Here is a 21623-nt window from a genome sequence, read left to right on the forward strand (position 1 = left end):
TTGAAATGCTTCCCCAAATTGAATTAAAACATAAAATGTTAAGAGTTAAATAAGTGGTTACGTTAACTGTCACGGGTCCTGTGCCATTTGTCTTATTAACCAGTGACTAATCAGGTTTTCTGGTACTTGGACTCCATGGCTCTGAGGACATACGTGTTAAATGGCAGTTAGAGTCTCAGCAAGACCACACAATTGTTCTTGTTTCAGTGGGAAAATGGAACTTGAATTCTAAGGAACAGGTATTTTGTTCTTCCACCCACCTACCATTCTCACTTCTTCCTTTGACATAATGGAATTGAAGTCCCAACACTTGCTGTCTTCTTTCTTGAGGAAGTGATGAGTTCCCAGCAGAAGCAATGGTGGTAGCCATTTTCATGCTTGCAGTGATAGTCAAGCAGGTGTTTGCCTTTGAGGCCTGTCTGTATATGTCCTAGAATATTAGTAAGAATATATGATACCTGTATATAGCACTTATCAGAAAGAATAGATTTTCTTTCATTTGTTCATTGACTGGTTGACTGACTCATTCATTCAGTATTATTTACCACCACTTAGGTTTTTGTGTTCTTGTTTCAGATTTTCTACCCCACTGGAGAAAAGCATTTTTTAACATTTATTTGTAGCAGTATCAAAAGGCTGCATATGAGGGGGAAAAAAAGGGCACAATGATTAAATGAAGACCAGTAATATTTTCTTGGGGAATTAAAAGACAAAACAGAGTGTGAAAGAGAAGAATTCTAGGGTGGGATTAGCACCTTTTGAAGTAAAAGTTCCTGCTTTCTTAGAAGTTTCTTCTCATGAGGAAATAATTTGGTGAACTGCTCATATTTAAATAAAAACAACACATGTACGTGCACAAATTCATTGTTAACATTTAGGAAAAATATATGTTATTTCTGATAATTTAAAAAGAAGCATCACATTTGTTGAACATATTTAATTGTTAAGGAAAAATTTTTTAAAGCATTAATAAAGCCTTTTTTTTTCTTTTTCTTTTTCTTTCTTTTTTTTTTTTTTTTTTTGAGACGGAGTCTTACCCTGTCACCCAGGCTGGAGTGCAGCAGCACGATCTCGGCTGACTGTGTAACCTCCACCTCCTGGATTCAAGTGATTCTCCTGCCTCAGCCTCCTGAGTAGCTGGGATTATAGGCGTGTATCACCGTGCCTGGCTAATTTTTGCATTTTTAGTAGAGACGGGGTTTCACCATGTTGGCCAGGCTGGTCTCGATCTCCTGACCTCAAGTGACCCGCCCGCCTCAGCCTCCTAAAGTGCTGGGATTACAGACGTGAGCCACTGCACCCAGCCAAAGCCTTTCTTTCTTATTAGAATACTGCATGTGATGCCAGACAGATGTGACAGAGGCCAAACCCAGTTGGGAAGTTGATTTATACCCACATCCACCAATGAGCATACTAAGAACTTGAGGTGAGATGGTGATATGGTTAGGCTTTGTGTCCCCACCCAAATTTCATCTTGAATTGTAATTCCCATAATCCCCACGTGTCAAGGGAGGGACCAGGTGGAGATAATTGAATCATGGTGGCATTTTTCCTCATCCTGTTCTCATGATGGTGAGTGAGTTCTCATGAGATCTCATGGTTTTATAAGGGGCTGTTTCCCCTTCACTTGGCACATCTCCTTCCTGCTACCTTGTGAGGAAGTTGCCTTGCTTCCCCTTCACCTTCTGCCGTGATTGTATGTCTCTCCAGCCATGCTGAACTGTGAGTCAATTAAACCTCTTTCTTTTATAAGTTACCTGGTCTTGGGCAGTTCTTGCTAGCAGCATGAAAATGGACTAACACAGATGGCAAAGGTCAGGGACAGGTGTGAGGACTGAGAGTGGGACAGTGAGGACAGTTACAGGCTAGATGGGGATGACAACTTCATGAAAGGAGAAGGAAAAAAGTACTAAGCTGGAGGATGGGCAGGAAGACAGAGAGATGGCCATAGTTCCTGATCTATTAAAAGTTTGTGAATTGACAAGTACATTTGTTGAGGAGAGATGTATTGAACGCATTCTACATGTTGGGCACTGCTGTGGGCAGCTTTATAGACATGCTCTTATTTTGCTTTTTTTTTTTTTTTGGTTGTTCCTTTCAACAGCCATTTGAGGTATCACTCATTTTTTATAAGTAAATAAGTGAGACCCAGTGAGTTTCAGTAATTTGCTCAAGATTATTCGGCTAGTAAGCCAATGGGCTGGAAATTAAACACACATTTATCTCACTCCGAGTTCATGTTTTTTATTCCATTTTATGCTTTAAATTTAGTTTTTCCATTTGTCAAGGTTATATGTGCACATGGTTTAAAGGGTCAAATAGTGCTGTAAGTCTGAAGAAGAAATTTTCAGTTCCTTGTCCCATTTTCAAAACACAATCACTTCAACCAATTTCCAAAGGCAATCAGTCACTTAGGCATTGTAGACAATTAGGAAATCTTTCTCTGTTACATTTCGCCCCTCTGCCCCAACACGTACTTTTATAGTCCCTTTCTCAATAAAGTTATATCATGATTTTGGTCAGAGCAATTTTCAGTGTTTATTTTATTTTGACTATCCTCTTTCCTCTCCAGTAAAATATTTTATTTTTCTTCAAGTTAACAAAGGTTAACTTGTTCAAAGGTCCTTCTTCATTTGCTTCATTTTTCTGTTATTATTGATACAAATGTCAACCATCCTCTTACTGTTTAAGTCCCTCTTCCATATATTCAAGTACATCTGTTGGATATTCTGTCACTTTCATCCTTCCTGGAGCCTTTTGACTTGCTCTATCTGGACTGGCTTCCCAGTAGGCTCTGCATGTTACTATCATCTTTATCATCCTTTCACCATTATCTTGGGCGTTCCCTTAACCTCTCTTGAGATGGATCCCTGTTTCCTGGATTCCATAGCTTCTTTTTTTCCCTCACTCCCCACAAATTTTGGTGGAGCATCCTGTAGTAGATTTCTGAGAAAAGGGTATATTAAAAACACATTTAAAAAATCTTGCATGTAAATTGCAAAAAAAAAAAGTAAAAATATTTTTATCCTATTCAAACTTGATCAACATTTTTAGCTAAGTATAGGATTCCAAAATTGGAATTCTCTCTCAAAATTTTGAAGGCATGGCTCCATAGAATTTTGGCTTTCCAGTGAAAAATCTTTCAGCCTTTAGCTGTGGTTGAGATTTTCTTCTGGGTCCAAAGCTGTGGTCAGAAAAAGGAATCAGGAGTTCTAAGTGACTTTTTTTTAAAAAGGGATAATTTGTATATGGTACCATGCACAGATCTTAAATGTATAAATTGCTGAATTTTTATACATGTATACACATGTATAATCATTATCCAGATCAAGATACAGAAATTTTCCAGTGTTCTGTAAAGTTTCCTTATGCCTCTTCTCAGTTGATTCCTCTGTCTCCCTGCAGGAGTAACCACTGTTCTGATTTTTTTCTACCATAGGTTATTTTTATGTGTTCTAGAACTCTTTTTAATATGGAATCATACAGCACATGCCCTTTTGTGTCTGGCTTCTTTCAGTTAATATAAGGTTTCTGAGATTCATCCATGTTTTATATGCATCCGTTGTTTGTTTCTTTTTATTGTTGAGTTTCATTCCACTTACGAAATGTACTATAATTTGTTCATCCATTCTTCTGTTATTGGCATTTTGGTTCTTTCCAGTTTTGGGCCATTATGGCATGTGCTATGAGCATTCTTGTCTATGTTTTTTTGTGAACATATGCAAAGGTCATAGAGTGGTATAAATTTAACTTTGTTAGAAACTGCTGATCATTTTCCATTGTGGTTGTACCAATTTCTAATTCTTTTTTTAATAGACTCTTGTCAGTATTATTTTGAGGCTCACTTTCATTCCAAAGAGTATCTGGTGCCACCATTTCTGAACATCTGGGGATTCTGAAGAGTAAATCCTGTTGAGTTTTGGCTTTCTTCATTGCTTTTGTGGGATTCAGTTTTCTCAGGACCACTGAGTCAATTCATTCTTGTCCACCAACTTTCTACCTTCTAAAATTTTGTTGCTGTTCTCATGTTCTCTCTATCCTTAAGGATTTCTGCGTTAAAAATATTTTCTTTTCCTGTCATTTTAGTGGGTTTTCAGGAACTAGTAGAGCTAAATACTTATGCTCAATTCACCATTTAAAACCTATTAGTGAATAGGTTTTAAAATAAAAGTGTTAAACTATTCTGCCTTCCCACGGTTACTGGAACTATTTATTTATTTAAACCTGCACAGTGGGTTTAAGTCGCATCTTGAGATTGGAGCAGTGGGGAAGTAAGGAGCAAAATAAAAGTCCTTAGGCAGTAGGGAAAGGTCAGCCTATTTAAAGAATGAAATCTTGTATCAAACAATACCAAGCTGTGATAGGCATAATTATTTAATGATATTATGTGACAGGGATTATGAAGAAATCTTAGCAGGGAGGGATAGGCAAATTGAAGGTGATGTTGCTTCTTGATAGCCTCAGGTTCCCCAAACATTCTTTCATTGGGTCAGTTAATTGAGACCTGGAATGAACTGGGGGTACAATTACCAGAGATCAGAGCTGAGATGAATTCAAAATACTGAATTGAAAAACATAATTCGTTTTGCATAAAGGCAGCTGGTATAAGTATCATAAAGGCACCTGGTATAAATATCATAAAGTAGTCATGATTCAAATGAATAACAAAATATAAAAAAAGCATAGAAGACTTAACTCATTGTGATGGTTAATACTGAGTGTCAACTTGATTGGATTGAAGGATGCAAAGTATTGATCCTGGGTGTGTCTGTGAGGGTGTTGCCAAAGGAGATTAACATTTGAGTCAGTGGGCGAGGAAAGGCAGACCCACCTTTAATCTGGGTGGGCACCATCTAATCGCTGCCAACGAATAGAAAGCAGGCAGAAAAATGCAAAAAAGCTAGACTGTCCTAGCCTCCCAGCCCACATCTTTCTCCTGTGCTGGATGCTTCCTGCCCTTGGACATCGGACTCCGAGTTCTTCAGCTTTGGGGCTCAGACCGGCTTCCTTGCACCTCAGCTTGCAGACAGCCTATTGTGGGACCTTGTGATTGTGTGAGTTAATACTACTTAATAAACCCCCTTTATATATCAATCTATCCTATTAGTTCTGCACCTCTAGAGAACCCTGACAAATACACGCATGTCGCCAGTGCCTATGAGAGCACTAGCTCTTTGGATCTTGGATTTTGCAATGTATCCTTGAATAGTTGGATTTTGCTTCTTACTCATGAAGACCACAGGGCAATGTGGGGCAAGCCCTCTACTTTTTGGCGCCCACTGTCTCTCACGGTCTAAAATACAAGTTCTAGAAAGACAGTTCTCTGTCAACTTTGTGTTTTTCTGTTTCTTGAGAGTAAACCCCAATGATGCATTGGCTTCAGTAGAATTCAGGAGCAGTAACCCATAGTGTTCACTTAACTGGGCAAGTGATGATTAATTTGAAATGAGAACAATAGGAATGGGGCTTAATGAGCAGGAAAAAAATTAGGTTAAATATTAATGTAAGGAAAAATTTTATAGAGAAGTTGTATCAGTCAAGCTCCCAGCAGGAAACAGATGACACAATACAATTAGAATTGACAAGTGGTTAGTAAAGGGACGACTCACAAAGATATGTGCAGGGTATGGGGAACAGTGAAACTGTTAACCTTTTCTAAGCCTGCAGGGAAGAGTGGGGGTGGTGGCAAGAATCTGGGAGTCAGAGTCATGTACAGAGGACCCCTGAGAGCCTGTGTGGCTTTCCTTTGAGGGACACAGCCAGCCTGAGGCTGCAGAGAAGGAACCAGGAGAATAACTCCTCCAGCCTCACTCTCTTCCCTCCCTGTGGTCTTCTTTCCGTCAGGGGTCCCTGTTGGTTGAGCTTCACTGGAGACCAGAGGGCAGAGTAGCCCCACTGAGCCAGTCTACATACAACAGCCTTGCCCATGGGTAGAGTAAAGGAAGGGTAAGTGTGGAGAGAGGCTGTGGCAGGGCAAACAGGAGATGCCCCACACACAGATGTCAGTGGTCCAGTGTAGAGTGAGTTCCCTAAAGGAGGCTGCAGACATCATTCTTTTTGGACACGTTTTGGAAATAATGTAACTGCAGATTTATCTTAAAATTTGAATGTCCCTTCCAGCTGCCATAAATTCAGATGTCACAAGCAAAAGAATGAAATTCTGGTACCAAACCTAATGAAATGTGTTTTGTGAAATTCACTTTACAATAACAAGCTGCTCCTGCAAAGAGGAAATACCCAGTAATAATAACACTGTGTACATTGTATTTTCCAGTATATAAAGGACTTCCATATAAATAATTTTAGGTGACTCTCTTAATAATTTTGTGAGGTAGCTGGGAAGATAGACCCACTTAATGGATGAGAAAAGTCTCACAGAATTGGCCTAAGATATCACAGCAAACAAGTGGGAAAGCCTGAATTTGAGCCATGTCTCTAGATTTCAAATTCAGATTTGAGTTTCAAGAGAAACTCCGATCCCCTGCAATGATTTTTTTTTTTTTAAGGCAAGAGTAATTTCTTATAAGAAATATAAGAAATTCTTCCCCTTCCCAGATGTTGCTGAGTCGTCTTTGTGACTATAATGTGCTTTGGCAGCTGATATTTTCTTGTCGTCAGTTTAAGGAGGATGCCATCTGATGAAGCTTGAGATACAAATTTGGGTCTTGGAAGTGATCCCATTATAACCAGGTAAAAGCTAGAGGCATCCATTCTGAAGGTCCCTGTAAACCCTGAGTTCTTTATGACTCCAATATTTTGTATCCTGGAAGATGATCCAACTTCTGAAAGAGCTGTGTCTCATATATGCCACAGTTGTCTGTGCTAGAGTAATTCAGGTGACCATTTGGCTAAGTTTGACCAGAGTTTTAATAACATAATAGTAAAGTCATATGCCGGAATAAAGTTGAAGAACAGTGAATGGCGATTTTGTATACAGTCTATGTGTACAAATGAAACCCCAGGCCTTCCTTCTGGGTTTTGCAGGAGTGGCATTCTAATGATTTGACTTTGACTTGTACTTGGCAGCCCCTCCAGTATAGGAGGGAAATGAAGCCTACCAGGCAGTGACTCCCTGGAGCATTCTCTCAGCTTGTCTGTCAGTCAGACATTTTAGAAGTAGCCACATTCATTGTATGATCTCAGAATCCTGCCTTGACTGCTGGATTTAGGATTTTCTTTTTAAAAATAAGGTAAGTATGTTTTATATACAGTCCTGTTCCAGATTGCAAGTGTTCAGTTAGCTAAATTTTGACAATTTGAATAATGCATGTAACTACCACCCAAAACAAAAGGTAGAACATTATCACCCCAGAACATTCTTCCGTGTGTTTCCAGTCAATCTCCTCCTTCCCTGCCCTCCTCACAAATAGGCAATCACTCTTCTAATTTCTATCAGTATAGATTACTTTGTCTATTCCTAAACTTTAAGTAAGTGAAATCATACAGTATCTGGCTAATTTCACTCAATGCAGTTTTAAAAAATTGATACATAATATATGGACATATGGGTTAAACGTGCAATTTTGTTACATGGATAGCAACAAAATAATGATCATATAATGATCAAATCAGGGTATTTAGGATATCCCTCACCTTGAGTGTTTATCATTTCTATGTATTGGGGACATTTCAAGACTTCTAGCTATTTCAAAATATGCAATATATTTTTGTTAACTATAGTCACCCTACTCTGCTTTCAAACATTAGAACTTATTCCTTCTATCTAATTGTGTTTGTATCCATTAACCAACCTCTCTTCCTTGATCCTATCCCCCACACCCCACATGCACCCATCTCAGCCTCTGGTTACTATAATTCTACTCTCTCTCGATGAGATTAACTGTTTAAGCTCCCACATGTGAATGAGAACATGTAATATTTATCTTTCTGTGCCTGGCTTATTTCCCTTAACATAAGGGCCTCCAGTTCCACTCAGGTTGCTGCAAAATAACAGGATTTCATTCTTTTTTATGGCCAATTAAACATTTCAATGTGTATATATACCATATATTATTTATTCATTCGTCTGTTGATGGGCATTTAGGTTGCTTCCATAACTTAGCTATTGTGAATAGTACTGCAATAAACATAACGGTGCAGGAATCCCTTTGATATACTGATTTCTTTTCTTTTCCATAAATATCCAGTAGTGGGATTACTGGATCACATGGTAACTCCATTTTTATTTTTTGAGGAATCTCCATACTGTGTTTCATAATGGCTCTACTAATTGACATGCCCACCAGCAATGTATAACAGTTCCTTTCTCTGCACATCCTCACCAACAGGTGTTACTTTTTGTCTTTTTGATAATAGCCATTCTAACTATAAGATGTTATCTCATTGTGGTTTTGATTTGTATTTCCCTGATGATTAGTGATGTTGTGCGCTTTTTCACAACCCTGTTAACCATTTGTATATCTTCTTTTGAGAAATGTCTATCCACAATCTTTGCCCATTGGTACAGTTGGTAATTCCAACTGGGGTTTTTTTTTTTTTTTGCCATTGAGTTGTTTGAGTTTCTTGTATATTCCGGTTATTAGTCCCTTGTCAGATGAATAGTTTGTGTTTTCTCTCATTCTACAGGTTGTCTCTTCACTCCGTTGATTGTTTCCTTGGCTTCACAGGAGCTTTTTAGTTTAATATAGTCTCATTTGTCTATTTTGTTTTTGTTGCCTGTGCTTTTGAGATCTTAGCAATAAAATCTTTGCCTAGACCAGTGTTCTAGAGTATTTTCTCTATGTTTTCTTCTAGCAGTTTCCTAGTTTCAGGTTTTATGTTTAAGTCTTTAATCCATTTTGAGTTGATTTTTGTATATGTTGAGAAATAGGGGGTCTAGTTTTTTCTTCTGAATATGGTTATTTAGTTTTCCCAGCATCATTTATTGAAGAGAGTGTCTTTTCTCCAATGTATGTTCTTGGTGCCTCTGTTAAAACTCAGTTGGCTATAAATATTTGGATTTATTTCTGGGTTCTCTATTCTGTTCCATTAGTCTACATTTTTAAAATTTTAATTCAACTTAATTTATTTATTTTGAGACAGGTTGTTGGCCTGTCACCCACGCTGAAGTGCAGTGGCATGAACATAGCTCACTATAGCCTTGATTTCCCAGGCTCAAGCAATACTCCCACTTCAGCCTCCCAAGTAGCTGGGAATACAGGTGCACCCCACTACACCTGGCTAATTAAACAATTTTTTTTTTTTTTTTTTTTTTGTAGAGACAAGGTCTCACTATGTTGCCAAGACTATCTTGAAGTCCTGGGCTTGAGTGGTCCTCCCACCTGGGCATCCTAAGGTGCTGGGATTACAGGTGTGAGCCATCACACCTAGTCTATATATTTGTTTTTATAGCAGTACCATGCTGTTTTGGTTACTATAACCTTTGAAGTCAGGTAATGTGATGCCTCCAGCTTTTCTCAGGATTGCTTTGGCTCTTTGGGCATTTTTTTGGTTTCATATGAATTTTAGGATTTTTTTTCTATTTCTGTGAAAAATGTCATTGATATTTTGATAGGGATTGCAGTGAATCTTTAGATTGCTCTGGGGAATATGCTCATTTTGATAATATTAATTTTTCCAATCCATGAACATGGGATGTATTATTATTTATTTTTGTCTTCTTTCATATCTTTCATCAGTGTTTTTAGTTTTCTTTCTAGAGGTCTTTTACCTCCTTGGTTAAATTTATTCCTGGGTGTTTTATATATATATATATACACACATATATATAAATATATATATACACACATATATATAAATATATATATACACACATATATAAATATATATATACACATATATATAAATATATATATACACATATATATAAAAATATATATATACACATATATAAATATATATATACACATATATATAAATATATATACACACATATATATAAATATATATACACACATATATATAAATATATATATACACATATATATATAAATATATACACACATATATATAAATATATATATACACATATATATATACATATATACATATACACACACACATATATATACACGTACATATATGTATATTTGTAGCTATTGTAAATGGGATTGCCTTCTTGATTTCTTTCTCAATTCATTTGTTGTTGGTGTATATAAATGCTACTGATTTTCTAAACGTTGATTTTGTATCCTGAGACTACTGAATTTATTTATCAGATTTAAGAGTCTTTTGGGGGAGTCTTTAGATTTTTCTAGCAGTAAGATTATGTCATCTGCAAAGAGGAACAATTTGACTTCCTCTTCACTAATTTGGATGCCTTTTATTTCTTTCTCTTTCCCGATTGCTCTGGATAGGACTTCTAGTACTGTGTTGAATAGAAGTAGTAAAAGTGGGCATCCTTGTCTTGTTCCAGTTCTTAGAGGAAAGGCTTTCAGCTTTTCCTCATTCAGTGTGGAGTTAGCTGTGGGTTTTTCATTTATGGTCCTTATTATGTTGAGGTATGTTTCTTCTATGCCTAGTCTGTTGAAGGGATGTTAAATTTGATGATCATGTGCTTTTTGTCCTTCATTCTCATAATGTGATGTATCACATTTATTGATTTGGGCATGTTGATCTATCCTTGCATGAATGGGACAAATTCCACTTGATCGTGATGTATATCTTTTTGATGTGCTGTTAGATTCAGTTTGCTAGCATTTTATTGAGGATTTTTGTGTCTATGTTCATCAGGGAGATTGGATATTTTCTTTTTTTGTTGTGTCCTTGTTTGGTGTTGGTATTAGGATAATGCTAGCTTTGTAAATGTGTTAGGGAGAATTCCCTCTCCTTCAATTTTTTGGAATAGCTTGAGGAGAACTGGTATTAGTTCTTCTTTATAAGTTTGGTAGAATTTGGCAGTGGCTTCATAAATTATTTGCAATTCTTCTGCATGGGAGATTTATATTTAATTTTTAAGAAACTGACAAACAATTTTCTTTTTTTTTAAATTATACTTTAAGTTCTGGGATACATGTGCAGAACGTGCAGGTTCGTTACATAGGTATACACATGCCATGATGGTTTGCTGCACCCATCAACTCTCAACTACATTAGTATTTCTCCTAATGCTATCCCTCCCCAGGACCCCACCCTCGGCAGGCCCTGGTGTGTGAAGTTTTCCTCCCTGTGTCCATGTGTTCTCATTGTTCACCTCCCACTTATGAGTGAGAACATGCGGTGTTTGGTTTTCTATTCCTGTGTTAGTTTGCTGAGAATGATGGTTTCCAGCTTTATCCATGTCCCTGCAAAGGACATGAACTCATTCTTTTTTGTGGCTGCATAGTATTCCATCGTGTATATGTGCCACATTTTCTTTATCCAGTCTGTCATTGATAGGCATTTGGGTTGGTTCCAAGTCTTTGGTATTGTGAATAGTGCTGCAATAAACATACGTGTGTGTGTGTGTCTTTATAGTAGAATGATTTATAATCCTTTGGGTATATACCCAGTAATGGGATTGCTGGGTCAAATGGAATTTCTGGTTCTAGATCCTTGAGGAATCACCACACTGTCTTCCACAATGATTAAACTAATTTACACTCCCACCAACAGTGTAAAAGTGTTCCTATTTCTCTACATCCTCTCCAGCATTTGTTGTTTCCTGACTTTTTAATGATTGCCATTCTAACTGGCATGAGATGGTATCTCATTGTGTTTTTGATTTGCATTTCTCTAATGACCAGAGATGATGAGCTTTTTTTTTTTTTATCATATGACACACAGTTTTCTAAAGTGGTTGTGCCACCTTATACTTGCACAAGCAGTGTCTGAGAGTCCAAGTGTTCCTCATCCTCACCAGCACTTGGTTTTGTCAGTCTTTTACATTTTAACCATTCTAGTTGGTGTGAAGTGGTATCTCATTGTGGTTTTTACTTTGCACTTGTGACAACTAATTATTTGAAGACCTTTACATGTGCTTATTGGCTATTCTTATATTTTTTATGTGTCTGTATGAAATGTCTATTTAAGTCTTTTGCCCCAATTTTTAATTGGGCTGCTTGTCTCTTTATTATTGATTTGAGGAGTTACTTGTATATTCTGGACACAAGTTGTTGTTTGTTCAATATATGAGTGAAAATATTTTCTACCAGTCTGTAGCTTGCCTACTATTGATTTTCCTAACTGTGTCCTTCAGTGGGCTGGCTTTAAGATTTTAGTGAAGAGATTTTGGGTTCAGTGTTAGGAGTAATGGGCCCTCACCCATTTTATAGTTGATAATGTTAATTTTTATTGGCGTACTGATGGGCATTATAACCACACTTTTTTTTCAAGGCATTGTATATTATCGTAAAAGAAAATTTCCAAGGGAAAACTCGAGACTTTTCCATAGTAACAGTGATTGTGTTATTGGGTTTAAGGATTACAGATATATTAGATCTCTTTGAGTAGCAACTGCTAGTGTGTAATAGAAGCCCATGTGGGAAGATCAAGTCCTGTCCTTTGCCAATTATGTATTCTCCTTTTCCAAGAAGCTGTGGCATAATCATAAATGATACAGTGCAAGAGGGGACATATTCTATATGCTGCCCAAGTCAAGTCCAATAGACACTGGGGAATCCAGCCTGGGAAACAGTAACAACAGCAGCTTCCATTAGTATTTTCCCCAAGATCTGATGACAGGCTGCATCCAAATTAACAATAAAAGGAAAGAAGCCAAACTTCTCTTGGAGAGAAGAAGGAATTCCCCCTAGGTAAAGTGGCATCATGTGATATTAAACATTGACTCATAAAATGGGTCTCGGGAAATGCTTTCAAGCTTGACTTGGAATAACAATAGTTAAAGAACAGGGTTTCTCCCTTAGAGTTCATATGTGAACTTGTTTACCAGCCAACTCTGACATATCAGCTACTTGAATTGATGCTTTGTTCTAACGCTGATAATTATTGCCTCTAATCTTTTATATTTGCTTTTATATTTGCAATAAGATTTTGATTTTCTTAATAATCATGGCTCTCAAGTTGAAAAGCCTGCATAATCTCTAACTTGTACTAAGTAAATACTGGCTTCTCAGTTGACTACTATCAATTTTTTAATTATTTGGAGTAATATTTGTAATAATTAACTTTAGAGAAAAGCACATGGAAAATCTTTGTGTGCATATTCTTTAGTACCTAAAGTGTTCAGAACTGAAAAAAAGACCCATTTTTATGTCCATTTACATACTGTGATTTCTGGATAGTAAAGGCTCTGAGCTCCTTCATGTCCCTGTGTTTCACTTATATTCCAGAGTTCTGTATTTGTTTATTTGCTGCTGATCCCACAAAACTAAAGGAAAAAAAATAAGAGTGGCTCAAGGAGGAAATAGCTAGGGCTTAGTGTAATGTGTGGGTGGAAGATAAGGGAGTAAGAATTATTTTCAAAGAGAGAAAAATAAGGACTTGAGGTTATTGAGAAGACTTAAGAGTCAGTGGCATCCCTCAGCACAATTTTAAGAAGTCTAAAATGTGAAAAAAAGTTTGTACATTGAAAACACGGTTCTGATCTTTTTTTAAAAAAATGTTCTCTTGGAAGGGAATATGAGTTTTTAAAATCAGGTAAAACTCTGTCTGAATTTAGCTGTTATCTTTTACTAACTGTCCATTCTCTTGCCATTTCAGGTAAACCTCTTTGTGCTGCTCTCTGTGGTTTGTGTCCTCTTAAATCTAGCTGGATTTATCCTAGGCTGCCAAGGGGCCCAGTTTGTGTCCAGCGTGCCCAGGTGTGATCTGGTAAGCAGTCCTAAAACATCACTGTGCATCTAGGCAGACCCTGGCTTGTCAGGTGTTCCTGGCGAGACTTGCAACATTCAGCATCAGGCAACTGTCCTGAAGTGAAACCTGAAATGGGTAAAGGGAAGTGGGAAAACAAAACAAAGAGCTGCCTGCTGATTATTTCACCCAAGTTGTCGATTACTTTTTCCAAAGCAGGGACCAGCCAGCAAAACACTGGAACCATAGTGATATAATGCATCATTAGTTAGTGAATGGATGGATCAGATGTCCACAATCAATCAGTCTCTGACTGTCCTCATCTAAAAAGAAATAAAATGGATATTGCCAGAATACAGGTCAACAGTCTTTTATCTGAAACCTTTGGAGGCCAGGTGTGTGTCAGCATTTAGAGTTTTTCCAGTTTTAGAAGATTAAATATTTTGCATATACTATTTATTATGTAGCATGCCAGTGGAGTCTGGGACAGCAGGCTGTTATCATGACTTCTGGTTTTCAGAGCTTTTTGGATTTCAGCATTGTGAGTAAGAGGTTGTGGACTTGTACCATCTCTGAACTTAAAAGAAAATAAATTTTATTGTGGTAAAATACACATAGCATGAAATTTACCATCTTAACCATTTTTAAGTCTACAGTTCAGTAGAGGTAAGTATATTCACATTGTTGACAACCAATCTCTAGAACTCTTTTCATATTGTAAAACTGAAAGTCTATGCATATTGAACAGCAACAGCTCCCCATCCTCCAGCCCCTGGCAATCACCATTTCACATTCCGTTTCTATGAATTTGAGTATCCTAGGTACCTCATACAAGTAGGATAATATGCTGTTTGTCTTTTTGTGACTGGATTATTTCACTTAGCATCATCTCCTCAAGGTTCATCATGTTGTAGCATGTGTTAGAATTCCCTTCCTTTTTAAGACTATATAATATTCCATTGTATATACATGATACCTTTTGTTTCTCCATTTATCTGTGATGGATATTTAGGTTGGCCCCCACTCTTGGTTATTGTGAATAACATTGCAACGAACATGGGCCTGCAAACATGTCTCTGAGATCCTGGTTTTAATTCTTTTGGATATATAACCAGAAGTGATCATTTGGTAATTCTATTTTAAATTTTTTGAGGAAACTTTGTATGGTTTTTCATAGCAACTGCACCATTTAATATTTCCATCAACAGTGCACACGGGTTCCAATTTCTGCACATCTTCACTGACACTTGTTATTTTCTGCTTTTTTTTTTTAAAGTGGCCATTCTAATGGGTATAAGGTGATACCTCATTTGGTTTTGATTTGCATTTTCCTTATGATTAGTGATGTTGATAGTCTCTTCATATGCCTGCTGGCTATTTGTATGTCTTCATTAAAGGAAGAATGTCTATACAAGTCTTTTGCACATTTTAAAATTGAGTTATTTTTTTTTTTGTTATTGAGTTATAGAAGTTCTTTATATATTCTGTATATCAGAATATATATACCACAAAACCAACACTGTGATTATTTCTGATGTTATAATTATAAAAGTTTGGGCAAGCCATGAAAAGTATAAGGCAGAACTTAAATATCATTTGAATTCCCACTATCCCTGGATAACAATTTGGCCATGTGTTAAGCATCTCTTTATGCACAAAAACAGACATAATCAACAGGATCATGTTGTAAGTGTTGTTTTCCTTTGGGGAAATTACTGACAAATGAAACCTTTTTGGGCAAGGGGTTGCTCTTCTCTTCTCTTTCCCACTCTGCCCATACCTGTCACCCCAAATCCTTAGTAACAGGCTGGGGAATTATATTTCATAATGTTTTCATGGTCATGTAATCTTACATAAATATGTATGGAGTGGGGTCGTTCATGATTTTTTTTTAAATGAGGTATATTGTATGTACTTCCCTGCATCCTGTTTTTATCACTTAAAGATGTATCACTTAGAGATAGATTAAATACAGACTAACACCCTTAATTTCTTTTACCAAGTTAGTTCCTTATTTTGTTATTGCCTGTTGTGGCTTGGGTTTTGACCAGTAGACACAGTGCTGCCATTAATATCATTCTGTATATCCTCAGGGAGATTTTAGTCCTAAGCGGAGTAGGTTCCCAGGACAAGGAATTGTTCTCAGCAGTATCTTTTCTCCTGCTTATCTCATTTATTATTACAAATTCAACCATTTTATTGTTCTATCCATCGCTTTTAAATTGGGGTAGAAGTTACAGTGAAAAACACAAATCTTAAGTGTGCAGTTCATTATAAGTTTTGACCAATGTATACATTCATTTTGACAAATGTATACACTCATGTTATACTCCAAACAATTTCTATACTCCAAACAAAATATTGTTTGTTGTACTCCAAACAATATTTCTGTCACCCTAAAAAGTTCTTTAGTGTCTCTTTTCAGGCAGTCTCTACTCTCTCATAGGCAACCACTGTTCCTGTTTCTTTCACCATGGGTTAGTTTTGCATGTCCTTGAACTTCATGTAGATGGAGTCACACGGTTTGAAAGTTTTTGTGTCTGACTTATTTTGCCCAGTGTAATGTTGTTGAAATTCATCCATATTTTTATATTGTATCTGTTGTTTGTTCCTTTTTTCAGGACACTATTTCATTTTATAAAAATACCAGAATTTTTTTGTTTTTTTGTTCTCTTGTTGATGGACAGTTAGGTTGTTTCCAGTTTGGGGGTATTATGAACAAAGCTGCTGTGAGCATTATTGTTTTGGGGAGGCAGTTTTCATTTCTCTTGAGTGAATACCTAGGCACGGAGCTGCTGGATGATGCGGTGCTAAAGAGTTTTCCAAAGTGGTTGGGGAAGTGAGTATTTTTAATTTAAAATGGATAGTCAGTTCCTTCATTAAAGGGCTTAAACTCACCAGTGACTGGTGAATTTCTACCAGTGGCTCTCCACGTCTCCACCAGCAAAGAGAGTTTCTCTCTTTTTAAAGTTGTGCCAGTCTGATGAAGCCAGAGTGAGAGCTTGCTGTCACTCTAATTTGTAGTTCCCTGAGTGCTTAAGATGGCATCATCATTTTTTAAAAAGCTCTCCAGAAAATTCAAATGTACAGGCAGGATTAAGAATGCTGCTATTGAAAGGTGACAGGGGGAAGACAAAGATCTGACCTCTTCAGGCAGTAGCACCAAGAATGCAGGGTGGATGTTCATTATTTAGGATCAGGGAGACTTCTACAAATTTGTTTGTGGATAGGCTAAAGTGACTGATGAGAAGTGAGAATAAGTTTTTAGAAATATTGGGCAGAGATGGGATTAAGAATGGAGGTGAAGGTATTAGATTCTGCAAGGATCAGGAATAGGGGAGAAGGAACGCACAGTGCACAGTTGCCTGGAATCATTTTGCACAGTGCCTGAGGTTTCTTTGTATCCAGTGGGAAAATTAATTGGTATTCGTGATCATTTGTATAATGAGTAAACTTTCAAATAGGGTTGTTTAAAGGGACTGAATTTCACCCATCTGGAAAATTTTGCCATCCAGACTGGCTCACTCCAGAGGTGCCAGGTAGCTGAAGTTTCTGAAGAGCTGGACATCTATGTTATATGGTGTGTGCAGCCCACATAGGCCTGGTTTCCCACTTAACTAAACGCTTTGTATCAAGAATGGACTTGTTTGGGAAGGGAATATTTTGTAAGATGATGCCTAGTATTGTCTGAGAGAGATAGAGCTTTCAGGTTAAGATCTTGAGGCTTGCACCAAGTGCAAAAAATGAAAATCAGAGTGCATTGTGTTGGGGAAAAAAAAGTGAGTTTGGTTCCTTTTGGGGAAGAGTGGGACTCATGTACACGAGCAGAATGGAGGCTGATACTTCATCTCATTTAGCTGCTTGTTTGTTAGTACTAAACAGGATTAGTATGAAAACAGGAAGTTCTCAGCTGGAGACTTTAAAGGAGAAAGGAGGAATATTAAAATTCCCTTTGTTTTGTGAAAGCCACTGAAATTTAGGTTTTGGTTGTTACCATGCTATACCCTAGCCCATCCTGACTGATAGAGGCATTGCCTGACACAGAACCCTGCCATCATCTCATTCTACAGGATTGGTGCTCCATGGTAGAGCCAGGGTATTTTTTCTTAATAATTAAAGTATTTTTTTTTACCTTTCCTCCGTTAAGGTGGACTTAGGTGAAGGCAAGATTTGCTTCTGTTGTGAAGAATTTCAACCAGCCAAGTGCACAGACAAAGAAAATGCCTTGAAACTCTTTCCGGTTCAGCCCTGTAGTGCTGTTCACCTTCTACTTAAGGTACCTCAAACAGATTCCCACCCGCACGGTAAATACACCACGGAGCCCCCAAAGAAGGCAAACTTACTTGAAATATTCCTGTTCTATTACCTCCCTCAAACAATTAAGCTGCTGAAAGCGCATGTGAGTGACCCCAGAGACAGAATTGAATGCAGAAAGAACCACAGATTATTGTGTGTGTTAAATTATGTATGGACAGCTTTCTTTGTGTTGAAGAACTGTAAGATAGTAAAAAATGGAAAGGAGCCTGACTATATATATGTATATGTATACACATACACACATATTTCCACATATAAACATATGCATACGTACATATGTATACCTACACACACATATACGGTGTAGCTTTTAGCAAAACCTTTAAGTCGCACACTCGTGTGTCATTGTTCTGATGCTCATTTGTTTGCTTACATGGGTCATATGGGCCACTGAGTACTACCAGTCTGCAACACGTAGACTAAGGAGAGAGATTGGCCAGAAAATATGGGGGAATTGAAGCACCTTAGCTCTTGTTTAATAAGCAACAACTATAATAAGCCAAAGGTATTAAACAAACAGATGATCCCAGTTGAAGAGAAATACAAAATTAGCCTTCATCAGGGAATTGGATAAAAATTGTGCCCTGACTTAAGGAACATTAGCTCAGTGAGTGACAAAATCAACTGGTGAACCCTGAGGTATGGCTTTTTGAGAGTCCACTTCTGCCGGTTTTCTTTAGATATTTGTTTTGGGTTTCATTTTGGTGGGGAGGAAGAATCTCCAAGGAAAGAGAGAACTGTTCCAAGCTACCAGCTCTGGGTTGTGTGGGATGTGGAAATGGCCTGCTTTCCATGGCTTCTGCATTTTTGGTAGCTGAGTCACCCCCAAACTTTCTGAGCCAGGACTTAGCTTGGGGAAAGCCCCACTCAAGGAGCCAGGACTGTACCAACAGAAGCGTTTGGAATGGCCTTTGCTATTTTGAGATGTGTGTTTAGTGGAGAGAAGTCCTATTTACACTCTGGCTGGGCCAGCTCCTTCAGTGTCCTCGTCGTGTGCATGGGGCAGCACAGCCAATTGCTCTTGAAATAGAATTAGTGGCCACAAATTAAGCAGTGTGCTGTGCTGGTGGGAGGCTGTGGGAGGGAGGAGGCTGGGAATTGCTATCCCTGGGGAAATCAGCCTCAGAAGAGAAGCTCACTGCTCTCCTGGAAGGAATGTTTCTCGACAGTATTCTGATGCTTGCAAAAAGAAATACTATCATACCACGTTGTTCTGTGACAGAAAGCTTCTAAGATAAGTTTTTGGAATTAAGAAGTACACATTATTGCATGAGGGTCATAATAATAGCCAGCATTTATTTGGGCACTTTCCACGAGCCAAACACCATCTAAGTCCTTTACATGCATCCTCTCCTGAGAATTGTCTTATGGAGGCAGCGTTATTATTATTTTAAAGATTTTCTACATTGTATTCTGGTGATGTTTGTTGAAGTACTTAGTGGTGCCATTGTTTCCTTGCCCCAGAAAGTCCTCTTTGCCCTGTGTGCCTTGAATGCCCTGACCACCACCGTCTGCTTGGTGGCCGCTGCCCTCCGCTACCTCCAGATATTCGCAACCAGGAGATCCTGCATCGTAAGTCTATGCAAGGGCATCATGGCCACGTTTCCGCTGAGCCAGCCCATGGACCCCTTCGTGTCATCCACTGCCTCTCTCCCCGTGCCTTTGTAATGAAGGCTGTTGACTAACTGAGCTGCTGTTTAATCAGGATGAATCCCAGATTTCTGCTGAAGAAGCGGAGGATCATGGACGCATCCCCGACCCTGATGATTTTGTGCCGCCTGTGCCTCCCCCTTCCTATTTTGCCACGTTTTACTCGTGCACACCCCGGATGAACCGCAGGTATCGTTCCTGAGTTCCCCTGCAGTCTGAGTGGGATGCTGTGGGTTCTGAAGACTGAAGTGTCTCCAGAACTCACCACATGAGATCTCACTTTTCTTTGAAAAAGAAAAAGAAAAATTTTTCCTGACTTGAGGAACGTTAGCCCAATGAGTGACAAAATCAGCTAGTGAACCCTGTGGTATGGCTTTTAGAGAGTCCACCTCTGCCAGCCTTCTTTAGAAAAATGAAAAACAATTATGCTGTTTTTCAGGGGTTTCTATTCTCTCTGTCTCTCTCTCTCTGTTTTCTGTCTTACTTTCTCTTTTTGTCTGATAAAACAGATGAATCCAAAGAAAAGTTAAACTTTGGCCTGAAGATAGACATTTTCAATTTCAATTAGCTTTCTAAGGGAAACTGACACCCAGGGAGATAACAGCTGTAATTTGACATGATTGAGAGTCGCTGTTGCCTTGGAAACACTCCCAGTTAGGCCAAATCGATGTTTCATTGTAATACCATCAGCAGGTCTCAACAATCAAGAAATTCTTCCTAGCCATTAAAAAGAGATTAATTATTAATTGTCTCTCCCTGGTCTAGAAAAAATAGATACCATACTTATTTTCCTTTTCAAATTTCAAACTTAAAATTTTGACCTTCTTAAATATCAAGGATTTTTATTGGTACAGTGAAATGCCGCATACATCTGTCTGATTGTTAGCAACTTCTAGAATCAAACCTTTTTTTAAAGAATGACTTCATTTAGGCGCGGCGTGGTGGCTCACACCTGTAATCCCAGCACTTTGGGAGGCTGAGGCGGGCAGATCATGAGGTCAGGAGATCAAGACCATCCTGGCTAACCCCCGTCTCTACTAAAAATACAAAAAAATTAGCCGGGCATGGTAGTGGGCACCTGTAGTCCCAGCTACTTGGGAGGCTGAGGCAGGAGAATGGCATGAACCTGGGAGGTGGAGCTTGCAGTGAGCTGAGATCGCACCACTGCACTCCAGCCTGGGTGAGAGCGAGACTTTGTCTCAAAAAAAAAAAAAAGAATGACTTCATTCGTTTATTCATTCAACAAACGTGGAATCCTCTGTGCTGGGTTATTGGAATTCAAAATGAGCTAGACCTGCTTCCTCCTCTACCATTAAGGAGCTCACAGTCTAGGTCATTAAAATGTGTGTTGGAAGGATCACGGTAATATTCAAAAGAGGGACTTTGGGTGCACAGAGAAGGTACACCTAACCCAGAGTGGCAAGGCAGTCAGAGATGGCTTCCTGGATGAAGTGAACTTAAGCTGAGTTTAAAGGATAAGCAAACATCTGTTGAACTTTTTGAAAGAGAATCTCTTAATTCCACAGAAATACTAGTGTCTTTAGCTTCATATTCAGAGGGCCAGAAATTTCTATTTTTTAATCCCTGTAGTACATGTAGAGACTTATCAAACTAACTTGGTGCTGAGCTTGAGGTTTTTAGAGAAGTATTTTCTAATGTCCAGGGTGATGGTATGTGACTTTGAGATAGGTCACCAGTGGGGCTGCCACCCAGACACTGTTAGTGTTCTTTTCAGTGGCTTAGCTGCTGACTCGTCCCTCAGTTATACCTGAACCCTACGTCTATACCCTCCCCAGCTCACTTGCCCAGGCAGGGGCAGAGATGACTGCAAAGCTGGAGGGGATGTCAGCTGGGTGACAGGTGGCCTGGGCTAGGCCTGTGGGACAGCTTGGCCTCTCTGGTGTTCAGGGAGTGGCCTCTACTGGAATTTCAAAGCCTCAGGGGCTGGGATGGCTTCCTTAATCTTT

General features: G+C 38.3%; 1 protein-coding gene across 9 annotated transcripts in view; it reads left to right on the forward strand.

The window, feature by feature from the left end:
• ENTREP1 (endosomal transmembrane epsin interactor 1) overlaps positions 1-21623 on the forward strand; it is a 67890-nt gene that overhangs the window by 33333 nt on the left and 12934 nt on the right. For all 9 annotated transcript variants that reach the window (NR_170669.1, NM_001127608.3, NM_001347995.2 and 6 more), the window contains 4 exons: positions 13600-13710; positions 17837-17965; positions 19471-19578; positions 19712-19845. Coding sequence is in view for 8 of the 9 variants with exons in the window: in NM_001127608.3 (NP_001121080.1) it covers positions 13600-13710; positions 17837-17965; positions 19471-19578; positions 19712-19845 (482 nt within the window). In the remaining variant the exon portion in view is untranslated. The remainder of the gene's footprint in view (positions 1-13599; positions 13711-17836; positions 17966-19470; positions 19579-19711; positions 19846-21623) is intronic.

The sequence above is a fragment of the Homo sapiens genome, chromosome 9 (genome assembly GCF_000001405.40).
Source record: "Homo sapiens chromosome 9, GRCh38.p14 Primary Assembly".
NCBI lineage: Eukaryota > Metazoa > Chordata > Mammalia > Primates > Hominidae > Homo > Homo sapiens.